The 22,369-nt window shown below is 47.6% G+C and overlaps 1 protein-coding gene and 1 pseudogene across 1 annotated transcript; one reads left to right on the top strand and one right to left on the bottom strand.

The window, feature by feature from the left end:
- PRAMEF32P (PRAME family member 32, pseudogene) lies at positions 460-3,180 on the top strand (annotated as a pseudogene).
- Positions 12,652-21,889, bottom strand: PRAMEF5 (PRAME family member 5). Its single transcript, NM_001013407.5, has 4 exons — positions 21,812-21,889; positions 16,532-16,840; positions 15,284-15,865; positions 12,652-13,537 (listed from the first exon to the last, which is right to left on the bottom strand). The coding sequence occupies exons 2-4, from the start codon at positions 16,816-16,818 to the stop codon at positions 12,976-12,978; spliced, it is 1,431 nt and encodes a 476-aa protein (NP_001013425.2). The 5' UTR covers positions 16,819-16,840; positions 21,812-21,889; the 3' UTR covers positions 12,652-12,975.
- Positions 21,890-22,369: the final 480 nt, after the last annotated feature.

Raw genomic sequence — 22,369 nt, 5'->3', positions numbered from 1 at the left:
AGGAGAATCGCTTGAACGCAGGAGACGGAGGTTGCGGTGAGCTGAGATCACACCATTGCACTGCAACCGGGGCAACAAGAGCAAAACTCGGTCTCAAAATCCATAAATAAATAAATAAATAAATAAATACATACATACATACAATAAAGCGGCTTGTTTTCCAGCCTGACTCAGGGTAGCCCAGAGTCTTCTGATGGTGCTGGTGAGGAAGCTCAAGGAGGCTTTGGCCATTGTCCAGATCCTCAGAGAAAGGACTGCTCACCATACAGGGTCCACTGTGGGAACAGAAACCTGCTTTTTCCCAGTGGAAGGTAAAGGGACTAGAAGTGGGGAGCAGTATGAATCAAAAGAGAAAACGGACTGAGAAAAGTCAGAGAGAGAACAGGGAGCAATGAGAATGAAAGCAAAAGTCAGGGATGGGTCCTTCTAAATTCTGAGCTTCTCCCTTACTTTACCTATAGGAGGTGGAAACTTCAAGTGCTGGACTTGCTGGATGTTGATGAGAATGTCTGGGCTGGATGGCCTGGAGGCTAGGCCCTGTCCTCCTCCCCAGAGGCCATGAGTAAGAGGCAGACAGCAGAGGACTATCCAAGGATGGGAGAGCACCAGCCCTTAAAGGTGTTCATAGACGTCTGCCTCAAGGAAACACCCCAAGATGAATGCCTGAGATACCTCTTCCAGTGGGTTTACCAAAGGAGAGTTTTAGTACACCTGTGCTGTAGTAAGTTGGTGAATTATCTAACACCCATTAAATATCTTAGAAAGTCATTGAAAATAGTCCACCTGAATAGTATTCAGGAGTTGGAAATTCACAACATGTCCTGGCTGCATCTGATAAGAAAGCTTCATTGTTACCTGAAGGAGATGAAGAATCTTCGCAAACTCGTTTTCTCCAGGTGCCATCATTACTCTTCGGACAATGACCTCGAGGAATGGTTACTCACCAAATTCAGCCTGTGTTCCTCAGGCTGGAACACCTCCAATTGCTTAAAGTAAAATTGATCACCTTCTTCAGTGGGCACCTGGAACAGCTGATCAGGTGAGAAAGGATCGTGCACTTTCTCTGAAGACCACAGCACAGCCTTTTTTTGTTACAGCAAACGCTAGAAGGCATAACTTTTGTGTCAGCCAGTGGTGACATCACAGTGAAGGGGACACCAGAATATCAACACATTGTCCCATTCAGTGCTCCATGTTCCGGAGTGGCTATCACAGGATCTCTGCAATGAGGGCAGCGGGGTCACCTGGGGTAGAGGCTAGAGAGCTACATCATGTACAAGCCAGGTAGTGGGGGTTTCAGCTCTACTGGGGGGTGCATATGTGAATTTCTTGTTACAAAGTGTGTTTCAAGTTGATATGATAGGAAAGAGGTAATAGAGGAGGGTATGAAAGGAGGGACAGCGCATCAAACCTGTGCATTTCACAGTAGAAACTCTGTCCTCACCAGCTTAGTGATCACAAATGATCCTGTCTCTATTCCCTGTCTGTAAAAGGTTGTTTTGAACCCCAGGAAAGGTAACTGACATGGGAAATGTGTGCTTCTTGAATGGAGGCTGAGGGAGTAGGCGTGAGAGTGGTAAAAAGTGATAGGTGGTTTGCAGATGCAGGCACGTCAGGGAGCCCCTGCCAGTAGGTAGCCCTAGCTGATGACCCTAGACCTTGCTCAGTTGAGTTCTTCATGCACATCTCCCACCGGGTACCTGTGGCCCAGAGATGAAGTTTTCTGCTAAAAGATGAAGAAAAGAGGCTTTAGTGATGTGATTTTGTGGCCTTGAACCAATCACACAAGCAATGGTGAAAGGATTGAGGCTAAACTAGGACTGCCCCTGAATGATCAGAGTCCTCATCACAGAGCAACTTGCATGTGGACCATCATCACATGATGGGAATAAACTTGTGTTTGGGTGAAGCAGACATTTCCCTTTCAGTTATTCCCCACCACCTTCATCTAACTGGTATCACTGCCCAGAACTAACTTCTTGATCTCCACAGGTGCCTCCAGAACCCCTTGGAGAACTTGGAGTTAACTTGTGGCTACCTATTGGAAGAGGACATGAAGTGTCTGTCTCAGTACCCAAGCCTCAGCTACCTAAAGCATCTGAATCTCAGCTACGTGCTGCTGTTCCGCATCAGTCTTGAACCCCTCGGAGCTCTGCTAGAGAAAATTGCTGCCACTCTCAAGACCCTCATCTTCGAGGGCTGTCAGATCCACTACTGCCAACTCAGCGCCATCCTGCCTGGCCTGAGCCGCTGCTCCCAGCTCACCACCTTCTACTTTGGCAGAAATTGCATGTCTACGGACACCCTGAAGGACCTGCTGCGCCACACCAGTGGGCTGAGCAAGTTAAGCCTGGAGACGTATCCTGCCCCTGAGGAGAGTTTGAATTCCTTGGTTCGTGTCGATTGGGAGATCTTCGCCCCACTTCGGGCTGAGCTGATGTGTACACTGAGGGAAGTCAGGCAGCCCAAGAGGATCTTCACTGGTCCCACTCCCTGCCCTTCCTGTGGCTCATCACCGTCTGAGGAACTGGAGCTCCATCTTTGCTGCTAGGGAAGGCGTGCCTAGTGGGGTTGATAAATCCAAAGTTCTCTTCCAGGCACTTGGACACTAAAATCTAGTATGTAAGTGCAAGTTATGTTTGTTTTTTCTTATTTCCTTTTTTAATAATTCTAAAATTTTATTAAAGAACATTTGAGACAGGGTTTCGCTGTGTTGCCCCAGCTGGTCTGAAACTGCTGGGCACATGGGATTCTCCTGCCTTGGCCTCCTAAAGTGCCAGGATTACTGGCATGAGTGATTGTGACCAGGCCACATGCAACTTACAGGAAGCACAGAATTCTTTGCTTCAGGCAGGTGCTCAGTATGAGGGAAAAAAGATAACAGCAGGGGGCAAGACTGGAGGAAAATGTGGAGGTGGAGTCAATGAGACCTTACGGGACCCATGTCCTACAGAGTCAGAAAGAGAAGCTAAAGTTCTACAGTGATGAGAATGTTATCCCTGCAGGGACGGTTACCAAGAAATATCAGAAATAACCTCAATGAAAACTTTCTGGTGTCCTCTGTATTTGATTGACTTGTTTTAGCGATTTATACATCAGAAATCTCTAGTTATTGAGTTACTGATGGAAAAGTATCAAAGTACTCTGTTGTCTGTGATTGAGATTCAGCTGCAAAACATCTAATTCCCACCCATTCTTTTTCTTTGCTTTTTTTTAAAAAAAAAAAAAAAAAAAAAAAAAAAAAGACAACATCTTGCTTTGTCACCCAGGCTGCAGTGCAGTGGTCCCGTCTGGGCTCACTGCAATCCTACCCTTCGGGGCTCAAGTGATTCTCATGCCTCAGCCACTCTAGTAGGTGGAATTGCATGCAAGTGCCACCAAGCCTGCTAGTTTTTGTATTTTTAGTAGAGACGCGGTTTTTCCATGTTGACCAGGCTGGTCTTGAGCTCCTGGCTTCAGTGATCTGCTGACCTTGGCCTCCCAATGTGCTGGGATTACGGGTGTGCCAATGATCTCCACCCATTCTTTACTTCTCTTCAGTCATCTGTTTTTTCCTTACATTTTCGCCTGCAAGGAGCAGCTCAGTCAGGCACAAAGGGACGGGCAGAGAGGGGCCCCGAGGAGAAGATGGGCTTGAGGTGGTAGGCAGAGCTGGGATCAAGCTACAGGGGCCTTTGTTGGGAAGCAGAAATGGCACCTAGTTCAATGACCTGGCCAGCTATGGGGCCACTGTGCCCACCCTGCTAACAGTGCCAAGTTCCTGGGTGTCGAAGGGAGGTTCTGTGCTAATCCTCCTGGGGCTGCATTTCCAAGATCTGCCCCCCACAGGGGTGACCACAGAGACTGACGTTCCTAATTGCTGGGTCTGGGGACCACGGTCCACTCCTGGAGGCACCCCACCTTGGCAGGGTTGTGAGCCAGGCCTCTGCCCCGTGTTCCTGAGGCAGACAGCTGTGCCACCCACACCCTCTCATGGCTTAATGAGACCCGCTCCCGGGTCTGGAGCCTCTACAAAGCCTCAAACTCACTCCTCACGGCCTGCTGTTAGCCTGCAATATTCTTAACTAGAGTGCAGTTGGGGCTCATTCAACCAGACCCAGAAGCATTGGGTTTGTTTTTGCAGGGTTGGCCAGAGCTGCTGTGAACCTGCATCTCACCTGTCACCTCTGTGGAGAAACACAGAGAGAGGGCATAACTGAGGCTACATACACTTTGAACCTGATGGGATCCTGGGACAAGAGGGAGTCCTGGCCCTCCCGAGTTGGCAGGACAGTAGCTCCAAAGGCACAACTGAAGCTGCCCAGGTCGCAGTTCCAACCAAGGTCCCCCAGTGCTCTTGAGGGCTCAGGAGGTCTCCCCTTCTCCTGCAGCATGGGGGTGTCTGCTCCCACTGTGTGGTCCCTCCTGGCACCTGCTGTAATTTTGGAGCGGAGTTGGGGTCAAGCATGTATGCTGTGGCAGCCCAGATGAGCGTGTGCATGCTCAGGTTCGTGCTGATGCACCGTCTGCCTGCTGTCTTGAACACTCTGGGCTTTGGGCCCTGATGAGCATGGGAGGGAGGCTGAGAGGGGGCTGAGGACAGATCAGTGCTGGCCTTTGGATGCTCCTTGATGCAAGTGACCTGGGCGCCATGGGTGGTGGTGGGAGGCAGACAGACTCCTGGATGGGAAGACGAGGGTACCTGGTGAGGCTCTACCTTGTGACCAAGGGGGGCCTGAAGCCCGTGGGCTGGTCCACCAGTGCTATGGACCAGAGTGGGAATATGTGGTGCCTTTTCTGTGCCTGCCAATGGCTACCTATGACCCAAGCAGCACATACTTCCTTCCCCATGATGCCCCAACAGCCCCAGACTCAGGGAAAACATCAGGATGAACAGTGGCAGAGTGAAACTACCCACTCTTGGGATGATTTTCCTGCAGACAAGCAATCCACTCTGGGGCCTTTTCTCTACTGAGAGCTGTGGAGATGATGAGATGACTTTCCTGGAAAGAGCAGCAGACACCACTGTGTACTCCAGGGACAAACATGGAAGCTGCTTTTGCTGTGCCTGGTTCATTTGCAGCCTTGCAAAAATCTGGCACCTGTGCTGGCACCTGGAGCTGCCTGCCCCACTGCTGCGGGAGCCAGTGACTGTCCAAAGTGACCAGACCCCCTGCTCACTCACACACCCCTCACTGCTCCAGTCCTGACCCTCCCTTAATAGGCATGTGATCCAGGCCTGAAGCATGAGCCAAGCATAGTCTACCAGTCTGAGTGGGCAGAACAAACCCAGTGAACCCCATCAAAACTCCGGCAAAGGTGCCCCCAGCCATAGAGGCTTCTGGCCAGAAAAGTCACATCCCAAGGATTTCATAAGGGAAAATTACTTAAACACAAAGAAAGACAATAAGAAAGGAAGGATGGAAGAGAGAAGTCTCTAACCAACCAGAAAACAAGAAATTAAATGGGAGTACTAAGCCTTTATCAATAACAACAATGAAGACAATATATCTCAGTTCTGCAAGTGAAAGTCTTAGGGTCGTTGAATGAGTAAAAGAATAAGACCATACTATATGCTGTTTTCCAGAAACTCACTTCACCTATAAGGACACATGTAGTCTGAAAGTGAAGGGGTAGAAAAAGATATTCCATGCAACACACCTGTGTTTCCAGCTAACTGGCAGACTGACATGGGAGGATCATTTCAGCCTGAGAGGCCGAGGCTGCACTGAGCCGAGATTGCACCACTGCACGCCAGCCTTAGAAACAGAGTAAGGCTCTGTCTTTCAAAAGAAGAAGAAAGAAAAGAAAAGCAAAGAAGATGTCTCTTCACATTTTATGCTGCACAGGCATTTTTTTTCTGATCTGCACTGCACTGCCAAGCCAGGTGTATTCTGTTGAGCTCACTTTGCAGCTGCCTTGCTTCTTGTTTATCCTAAGTAGCACCCAGAATAGTAGGTGGCACATTGCAGGCACTCATTCAAAGGTTTTTTTTTTTTGTTTCACATTTTTTTGTCTGTTTGTTTTGTTTGTTTGTTTGTTTTTGAGACAGAGTTTCACTCTTGTTGCCCACCCAGGCTGGAGTGCAATGGCGTGATCTCAGCTCACTGCAACCTCTGCTTCCCGGGTTCAAGCAATTCTCCTGCCACCACACCCGACCAATAGGAAGGGGAGGCACTGGATGTTAATAGTGTCAAATGTGCCAAAATCTTCTCTGTGGTTTTTCCCCAGAGTCTCCCCCTCCAGGGCCACCTGAAAATCCTCAGCCCTGGACAATGCAAGATTTTTTTTGACTGAGGATCACTGTGCTCCTTCTAGATCCATCAGAAAGTGCCAGGCAGTCTGATAGGTCCTGGTTTGACTTACATCTAGCAAGACCTTCACCTGGTTGGCAGGAGTAGATATGGGGGTCACTTGGATGACAGGGACTCCAGTCCAGACCCCATTCTACCTCATTCCCTCCTGCAAAGTTCAATCCTCACAGTCCTATGAGGCTGTGGCAAGTGCAGAGACAGAACTGCACCATATCCAACGTGCCTCCCTTCCCCTGGCCTCACACCAAGTCTCCCTCCCTCTGACATGTCCCTTGTCTTTGCATCCAGGGTGGATGTTTGCCATTGACTCTCTCTCCCCATGTCTCCCTGCTAGACTGACTCTTTGCCCCTGGGGTGAGATGGGGCAGCCACTGGAACCTCATGTAGACCAGGGTGAAATCAAAGGGCCTTAGAAACTCACAGCTCCACATCCAGGCACAGGTCCTTTGAGGATCTCAGACACAAGTCCACAGCTTATCAGGGACGCGGCTCTGTGAAAGCCAAATAACCCGGCCCCCTACCCTGCTGCCATCTCTCTCCTCTGTACTTACTCTGGCCCACATCAGCTCCTCTGGGCCACTCCCTTTCTGGGCCCTGTTCTTTTCCTTAGTCCTCCTGGCTCCATCCAGCCTGCAGCGAGTTCCCAGACCTCCCCCACCCCAGGCTGCCACAAGCACCTTCTTAGGCATCTACTCTGCTTTCAGAGTGAGCTTCTCCTCAGATCTTTATTGGGGAAAAAAGGAGGGGCAGCCCCTGATCTTGGAAAAGACGGTCACAAATGCGACCTGGAATGAGATCCTGTTGAGGACTAAAGAAGTCCAGCAGGGCCTGAACAGTGATTTCTACTGTTAGAAACATGGAGAGGGCAAACACCATGGGCAAAGAAAGCCCTGACTCAGAAACAGACTCACTGCATTCCAGGTGCAGCCTCGTCAGCTCTAAGACTGGGCAAGGGGATCCTAGAAGGGATGGCCCCCTGCACTGGGACCTGTCCCAGGCTCTGCCAACAGCCTGGCACTTCTAGGAAAACCAGAGGAGTCAGCTCTTCCTGTGGAAGGCAGACAAACTTCCCCTCCATTGGTCCTGGGTGCCTCTTTAGGTCCGGAAGAGCAGCTGAGGAGCTCCCTGCTTTGTGCCTTGCTATGTGCACCCAAAAAGCTCAGTAGAATTTGGGGAGAATGTATGAGTCACTGCTGATTCCAGGGAGAGTGTCTCTTAGCATTGTTTGTGGCCATAGTCCTCGGTGCAGGAGAGATCGGCTGACATTTCCAGGAAGCAGAGGATTCAGCTTCTCTCACAGCTCAGGCTGGGGGAGGAAAACAGAAATTCAGAAATATTTTAGAGACCCCCATCAAAAGCCTGGAGAAGCTTTGGAATCCCAGTAGAAATTCTGTGAGTGGAATTGAAGTCAGGCCGTCCCTTCAGATGGGCTCTGAAAGCTACTCTGACCTGGACAGCAGAGGAGCACCTTCAGAAGCACAGGCAACCAGAACATGGTAGAAAGACCCCCGAAACTGCAGGATTCTCACTGGGGTCCTGAGGATGGTGCAGGATTCCCCCAAGAGGTTCATTTTTCTCCCAAATTCTTCAGATACACAGCTTGCACCATTCATGCTTCCAGATTGAAAAGTCTCCCTCCTTATGTCTGACCACACTGCTCCTCTCTGGGCTCTGCCCCAGCTCACACACTCAGATTCACTCTTCCCAAGCTGGTATTCTGAGGGAAGCCCATCCTGTTTGTGAGTAATGATGCTTCACCTTCCAGTAGGAGTCAAGATTGTGTCTGCCCTCTCTGCCCTCAAAGACACTGTGATGTTTTACGAGTCTGCATTATCTCTTTTGTAATTAGGTTTTTTTAATTTTTAAACTCAATGTAGAAGGAAGTCTTTCAATCCTTTTGTCTAGATGCCCACAAAATACCTGCCATGTTTTATGTTGTCTTGGTTCCCTCCTAGGGTCCCATTAGAACAGTCAGTACTGTCCAGCCCAACCTCCACCTCACTTTGTAATTTAGGCCTGATTTCTTTCAGTGATGCCTTGACCTTAACCTTGAGATAAATTACACCCTCAGTAGTTCCTGTCTTCCACCTGAATGGGCATATGATCTACCATGTTAGGTAGCGCAAAACCCAGGTGACCAGTGGATACACTGAGATTTTTATTGTGTTTTTAGGGATGACATCACTGTCTTCTTAAAGCTGTTTTAACTCTGAAAAGTTTTGATACTTTTGATGTGGCCAAAGGTTCTCCAATAAAGATACCATATATAAATATATGTATTTCTAATGTCTGAAACAGATTAAAACCTTCCCTGTATCACTATGAAGGTCACATATTGGTAAAACTTTACCAATATTTATGGAATAAGTGAATAAATGAGTTTTAGTCCTTCACCCTATTATTAATTCTTTCACTTTCATAAATCCATATCTAATTTAATCACTTAATAAGAAGAAAGTTGAAAACTCAATCACCGTTAACTGGGTGGAAGTTCAGGATCCAGTTGGATGTCATTTTTGGATTGGAAGTTGGTAATTGAGAAGGGGGTTGTGGTGAGAAAAGTCAATAAAACTCCTGAAGATGCACAGAAGAGACCCAAAGCCCTGGCTCCTGGAGCTACTGCTTGATTCTCAGAGAGGTCCCAGCACCCTGCAAAGTGAGTCCAGATCTGGCAAGTCACCACTTATTAGGGATGTGCCCGTTTGATCTGATGTTCTGTATAGCATGTCACACAAAAGTCTGGAAGACACTAGCACATACACTGTGAAGAGAAGTCTCAAAAAAAGGGAAGGTTATAGAAGACACTTGCTCTGTGTTTTTGGAATGTTTTGCATTGAGAATTCTGTCCAGAGAAGGGAAAAAGAATGAAAAACAAAGGAAGCTCACCCAAATGTACCTCTATGTACCTTTTACCATGCTGGACTTTCTTTTGTTTTGTTTTCTTTTCTCTCTCTCTCTTTTTTTTTTTTTTTTTTTTTTTGATATGGCATCTCGCTCTGTTGCCCAGGCTGGAGTGCAGTGGCATGATCTTTGATCACTGTAACCTCCACCTCCTGGGTTCAAGCAATTCTCCTCCCTCGGCCTCCCCAGTAGTTGGGATGATACTTGCCACCACGCCCAGTTAATTTTTGTATTTGTTTTTATTATACTTTAAGTTTTAGGGTACATGTGCACAATGTGCAGGTTAGTTACACATGTATACATGTGCCATGTTGGTGTGCTGCACCCAGTAACTTGTCATTTAACATTAGGTATATCTCCAAATGCTATCCCTCCCCACTCCCCACACAACAGGCCCCAGTGTGTGATGTTCCTCTTCCTGTGTCCATGTGTTCTCATTGTTCAATTCCCATCCTATCACAAGGACAAAAAAACAAACACCGCATGTTCTCACTCATAGGTGGGAATTTTTGTGTTTTTAATAGATACAGAGTTTCACCGTGTTGCCCAGACTGGTCTCGAACTCCTGACCTGAAGTGATCCATGCGCCTCAGTCTCCCAAAGTGCTGGGATTACAGACGTGAGCCACCACACCGGGCCAATTGCTGGACTCTCATGTCACACATGGATATGGTATCACAAAGGCAATTTTTTCCATAATCCAATGTATTTATATTATTGGTAGTGAGCTAATGTTGACGTCCCTAAGTTAGCAATTCAGTGGCTATACCCATGACAAACGTTTCCATGCATCACGTGGTCAACAGCATTTGCTCCTGGGTTCAAGAGATTCTCTTGCCTCAGCCTCCTGACTATCTGGGATTACAGGGGCCCGTCACCACACCAGGCTAATTTTTTGTATTTTTAGTAGGGACGGGTTTTTACCACATTGGCCAGGCTGCTCTCAAATTCCTGACCTCGTGATCTGCCTGCCTCGGCCTCCCAAAGTGCTGGGATTACAGGCGTGAGCCACCACGCCTGGCCATTAACCATTCTTAAAATATCACATTGCATTCTTTAAAAGTTTTATATCTTTCATATACATAAATTACAACACAAATATTTATACTCAACTAGTATTCACATTATAGTAAATTTTCTTTTCTTGCTCTGTTGCCCAGGCTGGAGTGCAGTGGTGCGATCTCAGCTCACTGCAACCTTCGCCTCCCGGGTTCAAGTGATTGTCCTGCCTCAGTCTCCTGAATACCTGGGATTACAGGCGAATGCCACCACGCCCAGCAATTTTTTTTGTATTTTGAGTAGAGACGGGGTTTCACCATGTTGGCCAGGCTGGTCTCAAAATCCTGACCTGAAGTGATCTGCCCGCCTCAGCCTCCCAAAATGCTGGGATTACAGGTGTGAGACACCAAGCCTGGCCATGACAATGGCCTCAGCCTCCCAAAGTGCTGGGATTACAGACACGAGCCACCGCTCCTGGCTCATAATAGTAAATTTAAAAAAATACCATATAATATAATCCTTGCAACATTAAATTACACCATCTGATCTGATCTACCAGCAGATGGCACCCGAGACCTATGGATTGGACATTTTACTCTTCTTAGGAATGAATCCAGTCCAGAAATGCCCACCCTGCCCCCTGCTGGCTCCTGGGGCTCTGCTGTTTGGGGGAGTCATGATGAAGTTGTGGCAGAGGGTAGAAGATGAGCCCCATTGCATGCCCTGGGTTCTTGTTGCCTCCCTGTTATCAGGAATAGGAGGTGAGATAGATTGAAAGATGAAAATTGCTGGGACTTCTGCTGAGAAGAGAAAAAAGAACAAGATGTATTCATCTAACTGTATGCCAGTCCCCATGCCAAGCCCTAAACATGAACCATCTTATTGGATCCTTGCAGGGTCCTATAAGCCGTTGGACATCATCCTCATTTTACAGGGACCTGAGGCTCTTGGTTAAGATCCCTGACAGCAATACCAGCCCCTGAATCCTCAGCAGGATCCTTCACTTGGGTGCCCATTATGCAGGCTTCCTCAGCACAGGGAAGGTCACTCATCACCCACAGGCACTTGATTGTTATCCACCCTTTGATCATGTGAGATTCCAGAACACGCTGCACTGGTCTCTTCCTTGATAGGGAGAGAGGGGAGGTGTTATGAGAAAATCTCTCATCGATCTGACCTAGCTCCCTAATAAGAAGTAACTTTTTAAATGTCAGATGGAAATATTTAAAAAGTGTTACATACCTGTGTAGTTTTAGTATTTTACTTAAAGGGAATGTGGCTGTCTTTACTGGCTACAACCAGTTTAATTCAAGAAGGGCTGCTGGTCATCAGGAGAACAAGCAAGGGTTGGTGCTGCCCAGAGTCTCCAGCTAATACACAATATGGACATCCCCTTCCAGGGCAGCGGGAAGAGAGTGGCTCCTTGTGCAGTGAAGCTGACATCCACCAACTAAGGCTTCTGGAACCATGTGGAGACTCACAAGGAGTGGGCAGGGTCTCAGCATCTGGCTAGCAGTGAAAGACCCTGAGAAGAAGGTGCTTTCCACGTGGATTGGCTCACTGTTCTTGCCCAGTAATGTTCCAGACCCTTGGTTTCCACCTAGTGTGTATTAACCCACTGAACAGCCACAGAAACTAACAAGGAATTAACAGACATCTAAAGAAGTGAAGAACTGGAGGAGGCCAAGCCAATCGTGGTGGTCCACGCCTATACTCCCTGCATTTTGGGAGGCCAAGGCAGGAGAATCACAAGCTCAGGAGTTCCAGATCAGCCTGGGCAAGACAGCGAGACCTTGTCACCACTTAAAAAAACAAGCAAACAGGCATGGTTGCTCACACGCCTGTAGTCCTAGCTCCTCAGGAGGCTGAGGTGGGAGGATCGCTTGAACCCAGGAAATTGAGGCTGCAGTGAGCTATGATTGTGCCGCTGCACTCTAGCCTGAGTGACAGGAGACCTTTAAAAAACAAAAACAAAAACAAGCCTGACACAGTGGCTCACGCCTGTAATCCCAGCACTTTGGTAGGCCTACTTGCGTGGATCACCCAAAGTCAGGAGTTTGAGAACAGTCTGACCAACATAGTGAGGAAACCCTGTCGCTACTAAACATACACAAATTAGCTGGGCATGGTGGTGCATGCCTGTAATCTCAGCTACTTGGGAGGCTGAGGCAAGAGAATCATTTAAACCCCAGGTGGAGGTTGCAGTCAGCTGAGATGGCACCATTGCACTCTAAACTCCAACCTGGTCAACAAGAGTGAAACTCTGTCTCAAATAAAAGAATGGGAGGAAACTGATTACAATAACCAAATTTCATTTAAATGCCTTGATTTTCTTGGGTAGCATCTTATTGATTGGACAACTCAGTGCCTTTTGTTTTTTCCGTCAATAACTGAAGATTCCTGAGGCTTAAACTGGAAAACAGGTTACTTAATAATAGAGGGCACCAGACAGTTACCACTCAGTTTTCCTTTATTTCTGATTGTTTCTTTACAACCATGCATCCAAGAGTAACTCCCTCAAGTATTCTCAAGCCTCCACTCTAGACATTCAAATTCCCATTTTCCACTCTACAGGACACAGGTCCCCAAAGTCCCATCGAATCCATGGCAACACTTCCCCCAAGTCCTGCCCCTGCTTGATCACCTTTCCTTTCCCACTTTCAGAGCCCATGTGTGAAATGATGGGTTCTGTGCTCCCTATAGGATGTACCTAAGACCTAGGTTTTAGTTTCCAAGTGTCCAGAAGAAAGCGTTTGACATATCCACCCAAATAGGCAGGCATTCAACAGCAGCATTGATCTGCCTCCAGGTCATAAAATGACCTGTTGCCACAGTCAGGGCAGCAGTCAGTACAGAACAAGATCCTCTTGGGGTGCCTTAAGTCCCTCACTCTCTTCATCAGCTCAGCCCTAATTTGAGGAAATCTGCTCCAGCAGAGAGTACCATCAGCATCATAACTCTCCCGGGGGGCAGGATACAGCTCCACGCATAAGTTTTTGAGTATGATTGTGTGGCTCAGCAGGTTCTCCAGGGTGGCCATGGAGATGGGATTTCCACAGAAGCTGAAGGTGTTGAGCTCAAAGCAGCGGCTCAGGGCAGGCAGGATGGCGTTGACTTGGGAGTCTATGATGCCACAGTCATCTAAATCCAGGTACTCAAGGGTGGCTGCAACTTTTTCTAGGAGAATTTGGAGAGGCACAAGACTGTAATTGGTCAGTCTGATGCCACTCAGGTCCAGGGTCTTTAGTTGACTGATACTCGGGCACTGGGATAGATGCTTCAAGTCTGATTCCAAAAGCACACAGTTAGTTATTGTGAGGACCTTTAACGAGGTCTTCAGACAGCTGGGGAGAGAGAGCAAGAAGTTAATTCTGGGGAATCATAGGGGTGAGTGGAGGGTGGTGGGGAATGGCTTCAAGGTAATGGATGGAGACCATTTTGCCCAAGTCCAGGGTCATTCTGATGGCCTGATGGTCAACATTTAGGATGATGTGTGATGAAGAGCTTTGCCACCGAGGTCAATTCCACTTTAGGCCCGGCCCAGTAACTCACACCTGTAATCCCAGCACTTTGGGAGGCTGAGACTGGTGGATTCCTTGAGATCAGGAGTTTGAGACCAGCCTGCTGAACATGGCAAAACCTCCTCTCTACTAAAAATCCAAAAATTAGCCAGGTGTGGTGGCGGGAGCCTGCAATTCCAGCTACTTGGGAAGCTGAGGCAGAAGAATCGCTTGAACCCAGGAGGTGTAGGTTGCAGTGAGCAGAGATCATGCCACTACACTCCAGCCTGGGTGACAGAGAGAGACTCCGCATTAAAAAAAAAAGGAGAAAAAAATAATTCCATTTGAGGCTGAGTCACTTCACCATCATTTATAGGAATGGATCAAGTTCACAGAATCCCTAAAGCTCCCTTTCCTCATCTGTCAGGCAGAAAACCACATCCCTGGGCCACAGGAGCCCAGTGGAGATTCAGGCATAAAGGACAAACCCAGACAGGATCCTGCAACATCAGCTACGGTGGGCGGGCTGCAGGCGTCCCTGACAAGCCTGTATCATCAGCAAACCATCTATCACTTTCACCATTCTTTGTGCCTGCTCCCTGACCCTCTGTTTCAGAATCATGCATTTCCTAGGTAATTAATTTACCTGGAGCTCAAAAGAAACTTTTACAACACGGAATTAGAGATGGGATCATTCATGTTCACGAAACTGTGGGGCACAAAGCTGATTTTCTGACATGTGCAGGTTTGCTGAGCATTCCCCTCTTCAGTGCCCACTTCACTTCCCTACTTCACATCATCTTCTTAAAAATTATCTTGTTGGCTGGGCGTGGTAGCTCTCGCCTATAATCCCAGCACTTTGGGAGTCCAAGGTGGGTGGATCACCTGAAGTCAGGAGTTGGAGAATAGCCTGGCCAACATGGTGAAACCCTGTCTCTACTTAAAATATAAAAATTAGCCAGGTGTGGTGGCTCACGCCTGTAATCCCAGGCACTCAGGAGGCTGAGGCAGGAGAATCGCTTGAACCTGGGAGGCAGAAGTTGCTGCGAGCTGAGATGTCACAACTGCACTGTAGCCTGGACGATCAAAGTGAAACTCCATCTCAGAAAAGAAAGTTATCTTGTTTGTTTTTACTTTTATTTATTCATTTCTGACAGGGGTCTTGGTATGTTACCCAGACTGGTCTTAAACTCCTAGGCTCAAGCTATCCTCTTGCCTCAGACTCCCAAACTGCTAGGATTACAGGCATGAGCCACCGCCCCTGGCCTATTTTTCATCATCTTAACTTAGACACACATCCTCAGGAAGAATTCAGAAAGGCACCCTCACTAGATCTGAACCCCCCAGGAGCTAGCTTCCTAGCATGGCAGCCTCTCCATAGCATCTCCCCTAGCTGATCCCTCTGCCTCTATTGGGAGGGTTGCATGATACCCATTTCAGGACAGGGCCGCCAACAGGACAATGCATGGACATTCTAGTGTCCCCTTCACTGTTTCATCCTCATAGGCTGGCTCACAGTAGATGCCCACTAGCGTTTACTGTAACAGGCTCTGCTGTGGTCTGCAGAGAAAGCTCACCACCCTCCCTCACCTGAGCAGCTGGTCCAGGTGGCCTTCGAGGAAAGAAACAGAGTTCATAGAAAGCTTTTGGAGGCAGCACAGCTTGAGGAACTGAGTGGTGAACTGGGTAACAATCTCCTTCTTCTGCTCTGGGGAAACGTAGCGAGAGACATCCATGTGGGAGAGAACGAGCTTCTGAAGATTCCTCATGTGGCCCAGGTATGGGGTAAACTGTGTCAGGATGGGCAGTACCCACTTGCAATTCACTTCCACCTCCTGGATACAGTCTAGGTTCACCATTTTCAGGATGCTTCTGATATTGCGGAAGGGCATTCCCAAAATTTTCAGCTTCTTACAGCACAGGTGTAGTAAATCTTTCCTCTGCTTGACCCATAGAAGGAGGCAGGTGAGGTATTCATCCAGAGTCCTGTTCTTGAGCCAAAGTTCTACGAACACAGTCAAGGGCTGCTGTCCTCTCATCCTTGGACAGTCCTGCACTGGTTTTTTGTTCCTCTTGGCATTGAGGAAGCACCCATGGGCCATAGCTTCAGACCAAACCATCCAGAAGTTCTCACAGACATCCTGTAAATCCAGCACTTGAAGTTTCCACCTCCTGTGGGAAAATAGAGGTGAGAATGAGAATTTCAGAACTCATTTCTGAACTTAAACTCCACATCCTGGAGAGCAGCTCCTCCCCTCCCTGCTTCTTGTCCCTCTCTCTGACTTTTCTTCACCCTGTTTTCCCCTTGGATCCTGCCCACTTCCACATTTTTTTGTTTTTCTTTTGAGACCACGTCTCCCTCTGTCGCCCAGGCTGGAGTGCAGTGGTGTGATGTCACCTCACTGCAACCTCTGCTTCCCGGGTTCAAATGATTCTCCTGCCTCAACCTCACAAGTAGCTGGGATTACAGGAACCCACCACCATGCCCAGCTAATTTTTGTATTTTTAGTAGAGTTGGGGTTTACCATGTTGGACAGGCTGGCCTCCAACTCTTGGCCTCAGCCTCCCAATGTGCTGGGATTACATTGTGAGCCACCGTGCCCGGCCCAGTTCTCACTTTTCATGGTGCCTTTCAGTGCCATTAGAGGAGAGGTTCCTGTTACCTCCATGGACCTTGCGTGGTGAGCAGTGCTTTCCCTGAGGAGCTGGTGAATGGCCAAGTCCTCTCGGCTTCCTCACCACCACCATCCCCCTTGGGCCTCCTCACTTGTCATGACACAGCTCTTCCTTTGGTTGGATACCTGGGCCCTCCCCACCAGCCCACCTGGGCCACCTCACCTGGGATGAACCCCTTGGGTAAGCAGTGCATCCAGCCCATCGAGCACAGCTTGGAAGGCCTCCAGACAAGGCATCTTTATCAGAGGCCTCAGAGGGAGGCGGCGGAAGGGCCAGGCCTGCACCATCAGCTTCAGGGCCTCACAGCGTCTCCTGCTGAAGGCCTCCATGAACAGTGGGGGGAAAAGTTCTGTGGGCAGCTCCTCCAGGGTGGACATGGCCAAGGCTTGGTCCCTCAGCAGGCTCCGCCCTGCAAGCTCCAGGAGTCTGGGTGGAGTCCGGATGCTCATCTTCACGAATCTGCAGGGAAAACTTCCAGAGGACAAACCCAGAGAAAAGGCATCACTCTCAGGCCAAGCCCATGCAATCTTATCTTCTCCCAAGGCCAAAGTCACTGCTCTGGCAATGGTGAAACAGCCCTCAGTTTACTCCAATTCTGCCCTGTACTCAGTGGCCATTAAGCCAGCATTCTGCCTCTGCTGCATCAGCATGAGCGTCTCCGAAGCAGTGAGGAAGCAGGGCCACCACGAGCCCTTCCTTTCTATCCAGTGCTCCATCCAGTGACTAGTGAGTGTGGAGGAACCTGAAAGTGAACCCCTCCTACCATTGGGGGAAATTACTAATTACTCAAGGTTCTAAAACAATGGGAATGGGAATGTCACAAGCCTACATGCCCACATTTTCAGTTCCTACAAATAAGCTTGTTGGGAACATTCATGGGGCATCCCTAGAACAGGTTCTATTTGTTTTCTTTTCATTATTTAAGCTTGCTTTCTCTTTCTCTCTCTTTCTTCTTTCCTTCTTTCCCTCTCTCCCTCCCTTCTTTCTTTGTTTCCTCCTCTCTCTCCCTCTTTCTTTCTTTCCCCCTCTCTCTGCCTTCTTTCTTTCTTGTCTTCTTTCCCTGCATCCCTTCTCTCATTCTCTCTCTCTTTCTCTCTCTCCCTCTCTCACTCTTTCTGACAGGGTCTTGCTCTGTCACCCAGCCTGGAGTGTAGTGGTGGGATCTCAGCTCAGTGCAGCCTTGACCTCCCAGCTCAAAGGATTCTTCCTCCTCAGCCTCCCAAGTAGCTGGGACCACAGTTATGCATCACCACACCCAGCTCATCTTTTATTTTTTGACTTTTTGTAAAGACAGTGGATTTCGCTATGTTGTCCAAGCTGGTCTTGAACTCCTAGTCTCAAGCAATCTACCCCTGTTGGCCTCCCAACATACTGGGATTATAGGTGTGAGCCTCCACCCCTGCCTCATTATTGAAAATTTCAGTGAGAAGCTCTGAAAGCTATGTGACACTGTTATGCATTACTCACAAGATAGATGTTTCCAATGCACACCTCTTACACATATTCAAAGTGAACCACTTTGGCTGGGTGCAGTGACTCACACCTGTAATCTGAGCATTTTGTGAGGCCGAGGCAGGTGGATCATCTGAGATCAGGAGTTCAAGACGAGCCTGGCCAACATGGTAAAACCCTGCCTCTACTAAGACAGCAAAAATTAGCCAGGTGCAGTGGTCTGCGCCTGTAGTCCAAGCTACTAGGGAGGCTGAGGTAGGAGGATCGCTTGAATCCAGGAGGCAGAAGTTGCAGTGAGCTGACATTATACCACTCCACTCCAGCCTGGGAAATAGGCTAGATTGAACAGAGAGACAGAGAGAGCTACATTTGATTAGAATTCTTAATCTCTACCCAGTTAATCCTGATTGGATTTTTGCCTTTCTTAAATATTAACTGATCAAATTAGATATTCATTCATCAAAATGAAAGATTTAGGGATAGGGTGAAAGTCCAGGACTCATTCACTGATTCCCTTCACAAACATGGGGTTTTACTAATATGTGTCCTTCAAAGTCCTGAGTGTGAGACAGGGAAGGGTTGAACCTCTTCCTGATATTAGACAGAAAGAAAGAAAACTTGAAAGTATCTTTGTTGAGGGATCCTTGGCCATGCCAAGTTTATCAAAATATTTCAGGGTTAAAACAGTTTTCAGAGACAGAGATGACAGTCCCTAAGAAAACACAATAGAAATCTTCATATATCCAATGATCACCTAGGTGGCATAAGTCTTTTTGGTGTTGAGGGAGCTGAATCTCACTTCATCGGCCAGGCTAGAGTGCAGTGGTGTCATTTCGGCTCACTGTTGCCTCGGCCTCCAAGATTCAAGCAATTCTCATGCTTCAGCCTTCCACATAGCTGGGACTACAGGCATGCACCCCCTGCAGCCATGTCTCCATTTGGGTGGAAGAGGATGTGATTGGTTTAAAATTAAGGTCAAAGATCCTTTTTGATTGATTTTGTTTTTGTTTTTTGGACAGGGTGTCTCTCTTTTGCCCAGGCTGGAGTACAGGAGTGGTATGAGCATGGCTCACTGCAGCCTCAATCTTCTGGTCTCAAGTGATTCTCCCACACCAGACACCCAAATAGCTGGGACTACAGATGCATGTCACCATGCTCGGCTAATTTAAAAAAAAAAAAGTAGAGGCCAAGCACCAGTGACTCACAGCTGTAATCCCAGCACTTTGGAAGGCCAAGGCAGGTGGATCACTTGAGGTCAGGTGTTCGAGACCAACCTGGCCAGCATGGTGAAACCCCACCTCTACTAAAAATACAAAAATTAGCCAGGCATGGTTTCAGATGTCTGTGACACCAGCTTCTGAGGATGGAGACTGAGGCATGAGAATTGCTTGAACCCGGGAGGTAAAGGTTGCAGTGATTTGAGATCGTGCCACTGCACTCCAGTCTGGGCAACACAGTGAGACTCCATCCCCACCCTCAAAAAAAAAAAACGTTGTGTAGAGGAGGGCTTTTGTCATGTTGCCCAGGTTGGTCTCAAACCCCTGGGCTGAAATGATCCTCCCACTTTGGCCTCCCAAAGTGTTGGGGTTAAAGGCATGAGTTATTGCTCCCTTCAAGAATTTTAAAATGGCATCAACCAAAGCACAATCAACTTTTTTGAAATAAAGACAGAACTGCATTTAGAGGAAAACATTCAAAGCTTCAAATTGTTCATATGAAAAAAAAAAAGGACAGGATATAGCTCTGTGCCATCGTAGGCTGTACTGTCACCACCCCAGACCGACTGACTGTAGGTCAGATGGGAGTGTCCTTACAGAAATTAGTGACTTACCAGATCTGGATGTAGTCTAGAAGGTGCTCAGTCCTCAGGAAGAACCAAGCAGGAACTCTAGGCTTGAAGACTTTGGGTCTCTCCTGTGGGTCTTTAGAAGCTTTTATTGACCTTTCTAATCACAACTCCCACCCACGCCCCTGCACATATCCGCTGCTACCTTCCAATCAAAAAATGATATCTGATTGCATTTGTGAAGCTCCACCCAGTTAATCCTGATTGGGTTTTTGGCTCTCCCCAGATTACCGGATTGAATCAGATGTCCATTCATATCACATATCTATATTCACTTCATGAAGCAAGAAATCGACAGTGTTAGGGATAGGGTAGAAGTCAAGAATACATTCATTCAAGGCCAGACGAAGTGGCTCACACCTGTAATCCCAGCACTCTGGGACGCAGAGGTAGGTGGATTATCTGAGGTCAGGAGTTTGAGACAAGCCTGGCCAACATGGTAAAACCCTACCTCTACTAAAATTACAAAAATTAGCCAGTTGCGGTGGTCTGCGCCTATAGTCCAAGCTACTAGGGAGGCTGAGACAGGAAGATCGCTTGAACCCAGGAGGCAGAGGTTGCAGTGAGCTGACAATACACCACTGAACTCCAGCCTGGGAAATAGGCTAGATTCAAAAAAAAAAAAAAAAAAAAAAAAAAAAAAGAAAAAGAAAAAGGAGAGAGAGAGAGCTAGATTTGATTCGAATTTACCCAGTTAATCCTGATTGGATTTTTGGCTTTCTTCCAGATTTACTGATGGAATTAGATATTCACCCATCAAAGTGAAAGATTTAGGGATGGGGTGGAAGCCCAGGACTCATTCACTGATTCCCTTCACAAACAAAATGGGGTTTTATTAATATGTGTCCTTCACAGTCCTGAGTGTGAGATAGGGAAGGGTTGAATCTCTTCCTGATATTAGACAGAAAGAAAAAACTTGAAAGTATCTTTGTTGAGGGATCCTCGGCCACATCAAATTTATCAAAATATTTCAGAGTTAAAACAGTTTTCAAAGACAGAGTTGACAGTCCCCAAGAACACACAATAGAAATCTTCATGTATCCAATGATCACCTGGGTGGTATAATCTAATTTTTTTTGGTGTGGGGGAAGCTGAGTCTCACTTTGTCGCCCAGGCTGGAGTGCAGCGGCGCCATCTCAGCTCACTGTAACCTCCACCTCTGAGATTCAAGCAATTCTCATGCTTCAGCCTTCCACGTAGCTGGGATTACAGGCATGCACCCCCACACCCATGTCTCCATTCGAGTGGAAGAATTACAGTGAGGACGTGATTGGTTTAAAATTAAGGTCATAGATCCTTTTTGGTTAAGATATTGTTTTTGTTTTTTGGACAGGGTCTCTCTCTTTTGCCCAGGCTGGAGTACAGCAGTGGTGTGAGCATGGCTCACTGCAGCCTCAATCTTCTGGGCTCAAGTGATTCTCCCACACCAGCCACCCAAATAGCTGGGACTACAGATGCATGTCACCATGCTCGGCTAATTAAAATAAAAAAAAGTAGAGGCCAAGCACCAGTGACTCACAGCTGTAATCCCAGCACTTTGGGAGGCCAAGGCAGGTGGATCACTTGAGGTCAGGTGTTCGAGACCAACCTGGCCAGCATGGTGAAACCCCACCTCTACTAAAAATACAAAAATTAGCCAGGCATGGTTTCAGATGTCTGTGACACCAGCTTCTGAGGATGGAGACTGAGGCATGAGAATTGCTTGAACCCGGGAGGTAAAGGTTGCAGTGATTTGAGATCGTGCCACTGCACTCCAGTCTGGGCAACACAGTGAGACTCCATCCCCACCCTCAAAAAAAAAAAAACGTTGTGTAGAGGAGGGCTTTTGTCATGTTGCCCAGGTTGGTCTCAAACCCCTGGGCTGAAATGATCCTCCCACTTTGGCCTCCCAAAGTGTTGGGGTTAAAGACATGAGTCATTGCTCCCTTCACGAATTTTAAAATGGCATCAACCAAAGCACAATCAACTTTTTTGAAATAAAGACAGAACTGCATTTAGAGGAAAACATTCAAGCTTCAAATTGTTCATATGAAAAAAAAAAGGACAGGATATAGCTCTGTGCCATCGTAGGCTGCACTGTCACCATCCCAGACCGACTGACTGTAGGTCAGATGGGAGTGTCCTTACAGAAATTAGTGGCTTACCAGATCTGGATGTAGTCTAGAAGGTGCTCAGTCCTCAGGAAGAACCAAGCAGGAACTCCAGGCTTGAAGACTTTGGGTCTCTCCTGTGCGTCTTTAGAAGCTTTTATTGACCTTTCTAATCACAACTCCCACCCACGCCCCTGCACATATCCGCTGCTACCTTCCAATCAAAAAATGATATCTGATTGCATTTGTGAAGCTCCACCCAGTTAATCCTGATTGGGTTTTTGGCTCTCCCCAGATTACCGGATTGAATCAGATGTCCATTCATATCACATATCTATATTCACTTCATGAAGCAAGAAATCGACAGTGGTAGGGATAGGGTAGAAGTCAAGAATACATTCATTCAAGGGTGGGTGAGGTGGTTCATAGCTGTAATTCCAGCACTTTGGAAGGACAAGGTGAGTAGATCACCTGATGTCAGGGGTTCAAGACGAGCCAGGTCAAAAAGGTGAAACCCTGTCTCTACAAAAATACAAAAATACAAAAATTACCTGGGCATGATGGCAGGTGCCTGAAACCCAGCTACTTGGGAGGCTGAGGCAGGAGAATTGC

This window comes from Homo sapiens, chromosome 1 (genome assembly GCF_000001405.40).
Source record: "Homo sapiens chromosome 1, GRCh38.p14 Primary Assembly".
NCBI classification, from domain to species: Eukaryota; Metazoa; Chordata; class Mammalia; order Primates; family Hominidae; genus Homo; species Homo sapiens.
Note: the sequence above shows the minus strand (reverse complement) of the source record. Positions and strands in the feature narration are given on the sequence as shown.

What these genes read in the sequence shown, in the direction of transcription:
- PRAMEF5 (NM_001013407.5), bottom strand. Translation starts at nt 16,818, where the DNA reads ATGAGCATCCGGACTCCACCCAGACTCCTGGAGCTTGCAGGGCGGAGC. An exon ending in ACCCAAGGGGTTCATCCCAG is followed by an intron (nt 15,866 to 16,531) that starts GTGAGGTGGCCC and finishes ATTTTCCCACAG; the next exon opens with GAGGTGGAAACTTCAAGTGC. An exon ending in CACCTGGACCAGCTGCTCAG is followed by an intron (nt 13,538 to 15,283) that starts GTGAGGGAGGGT and finishes CTCTCTCCCCAG; the next exon opens with CTGTCTGAAGACCTCGTTAA.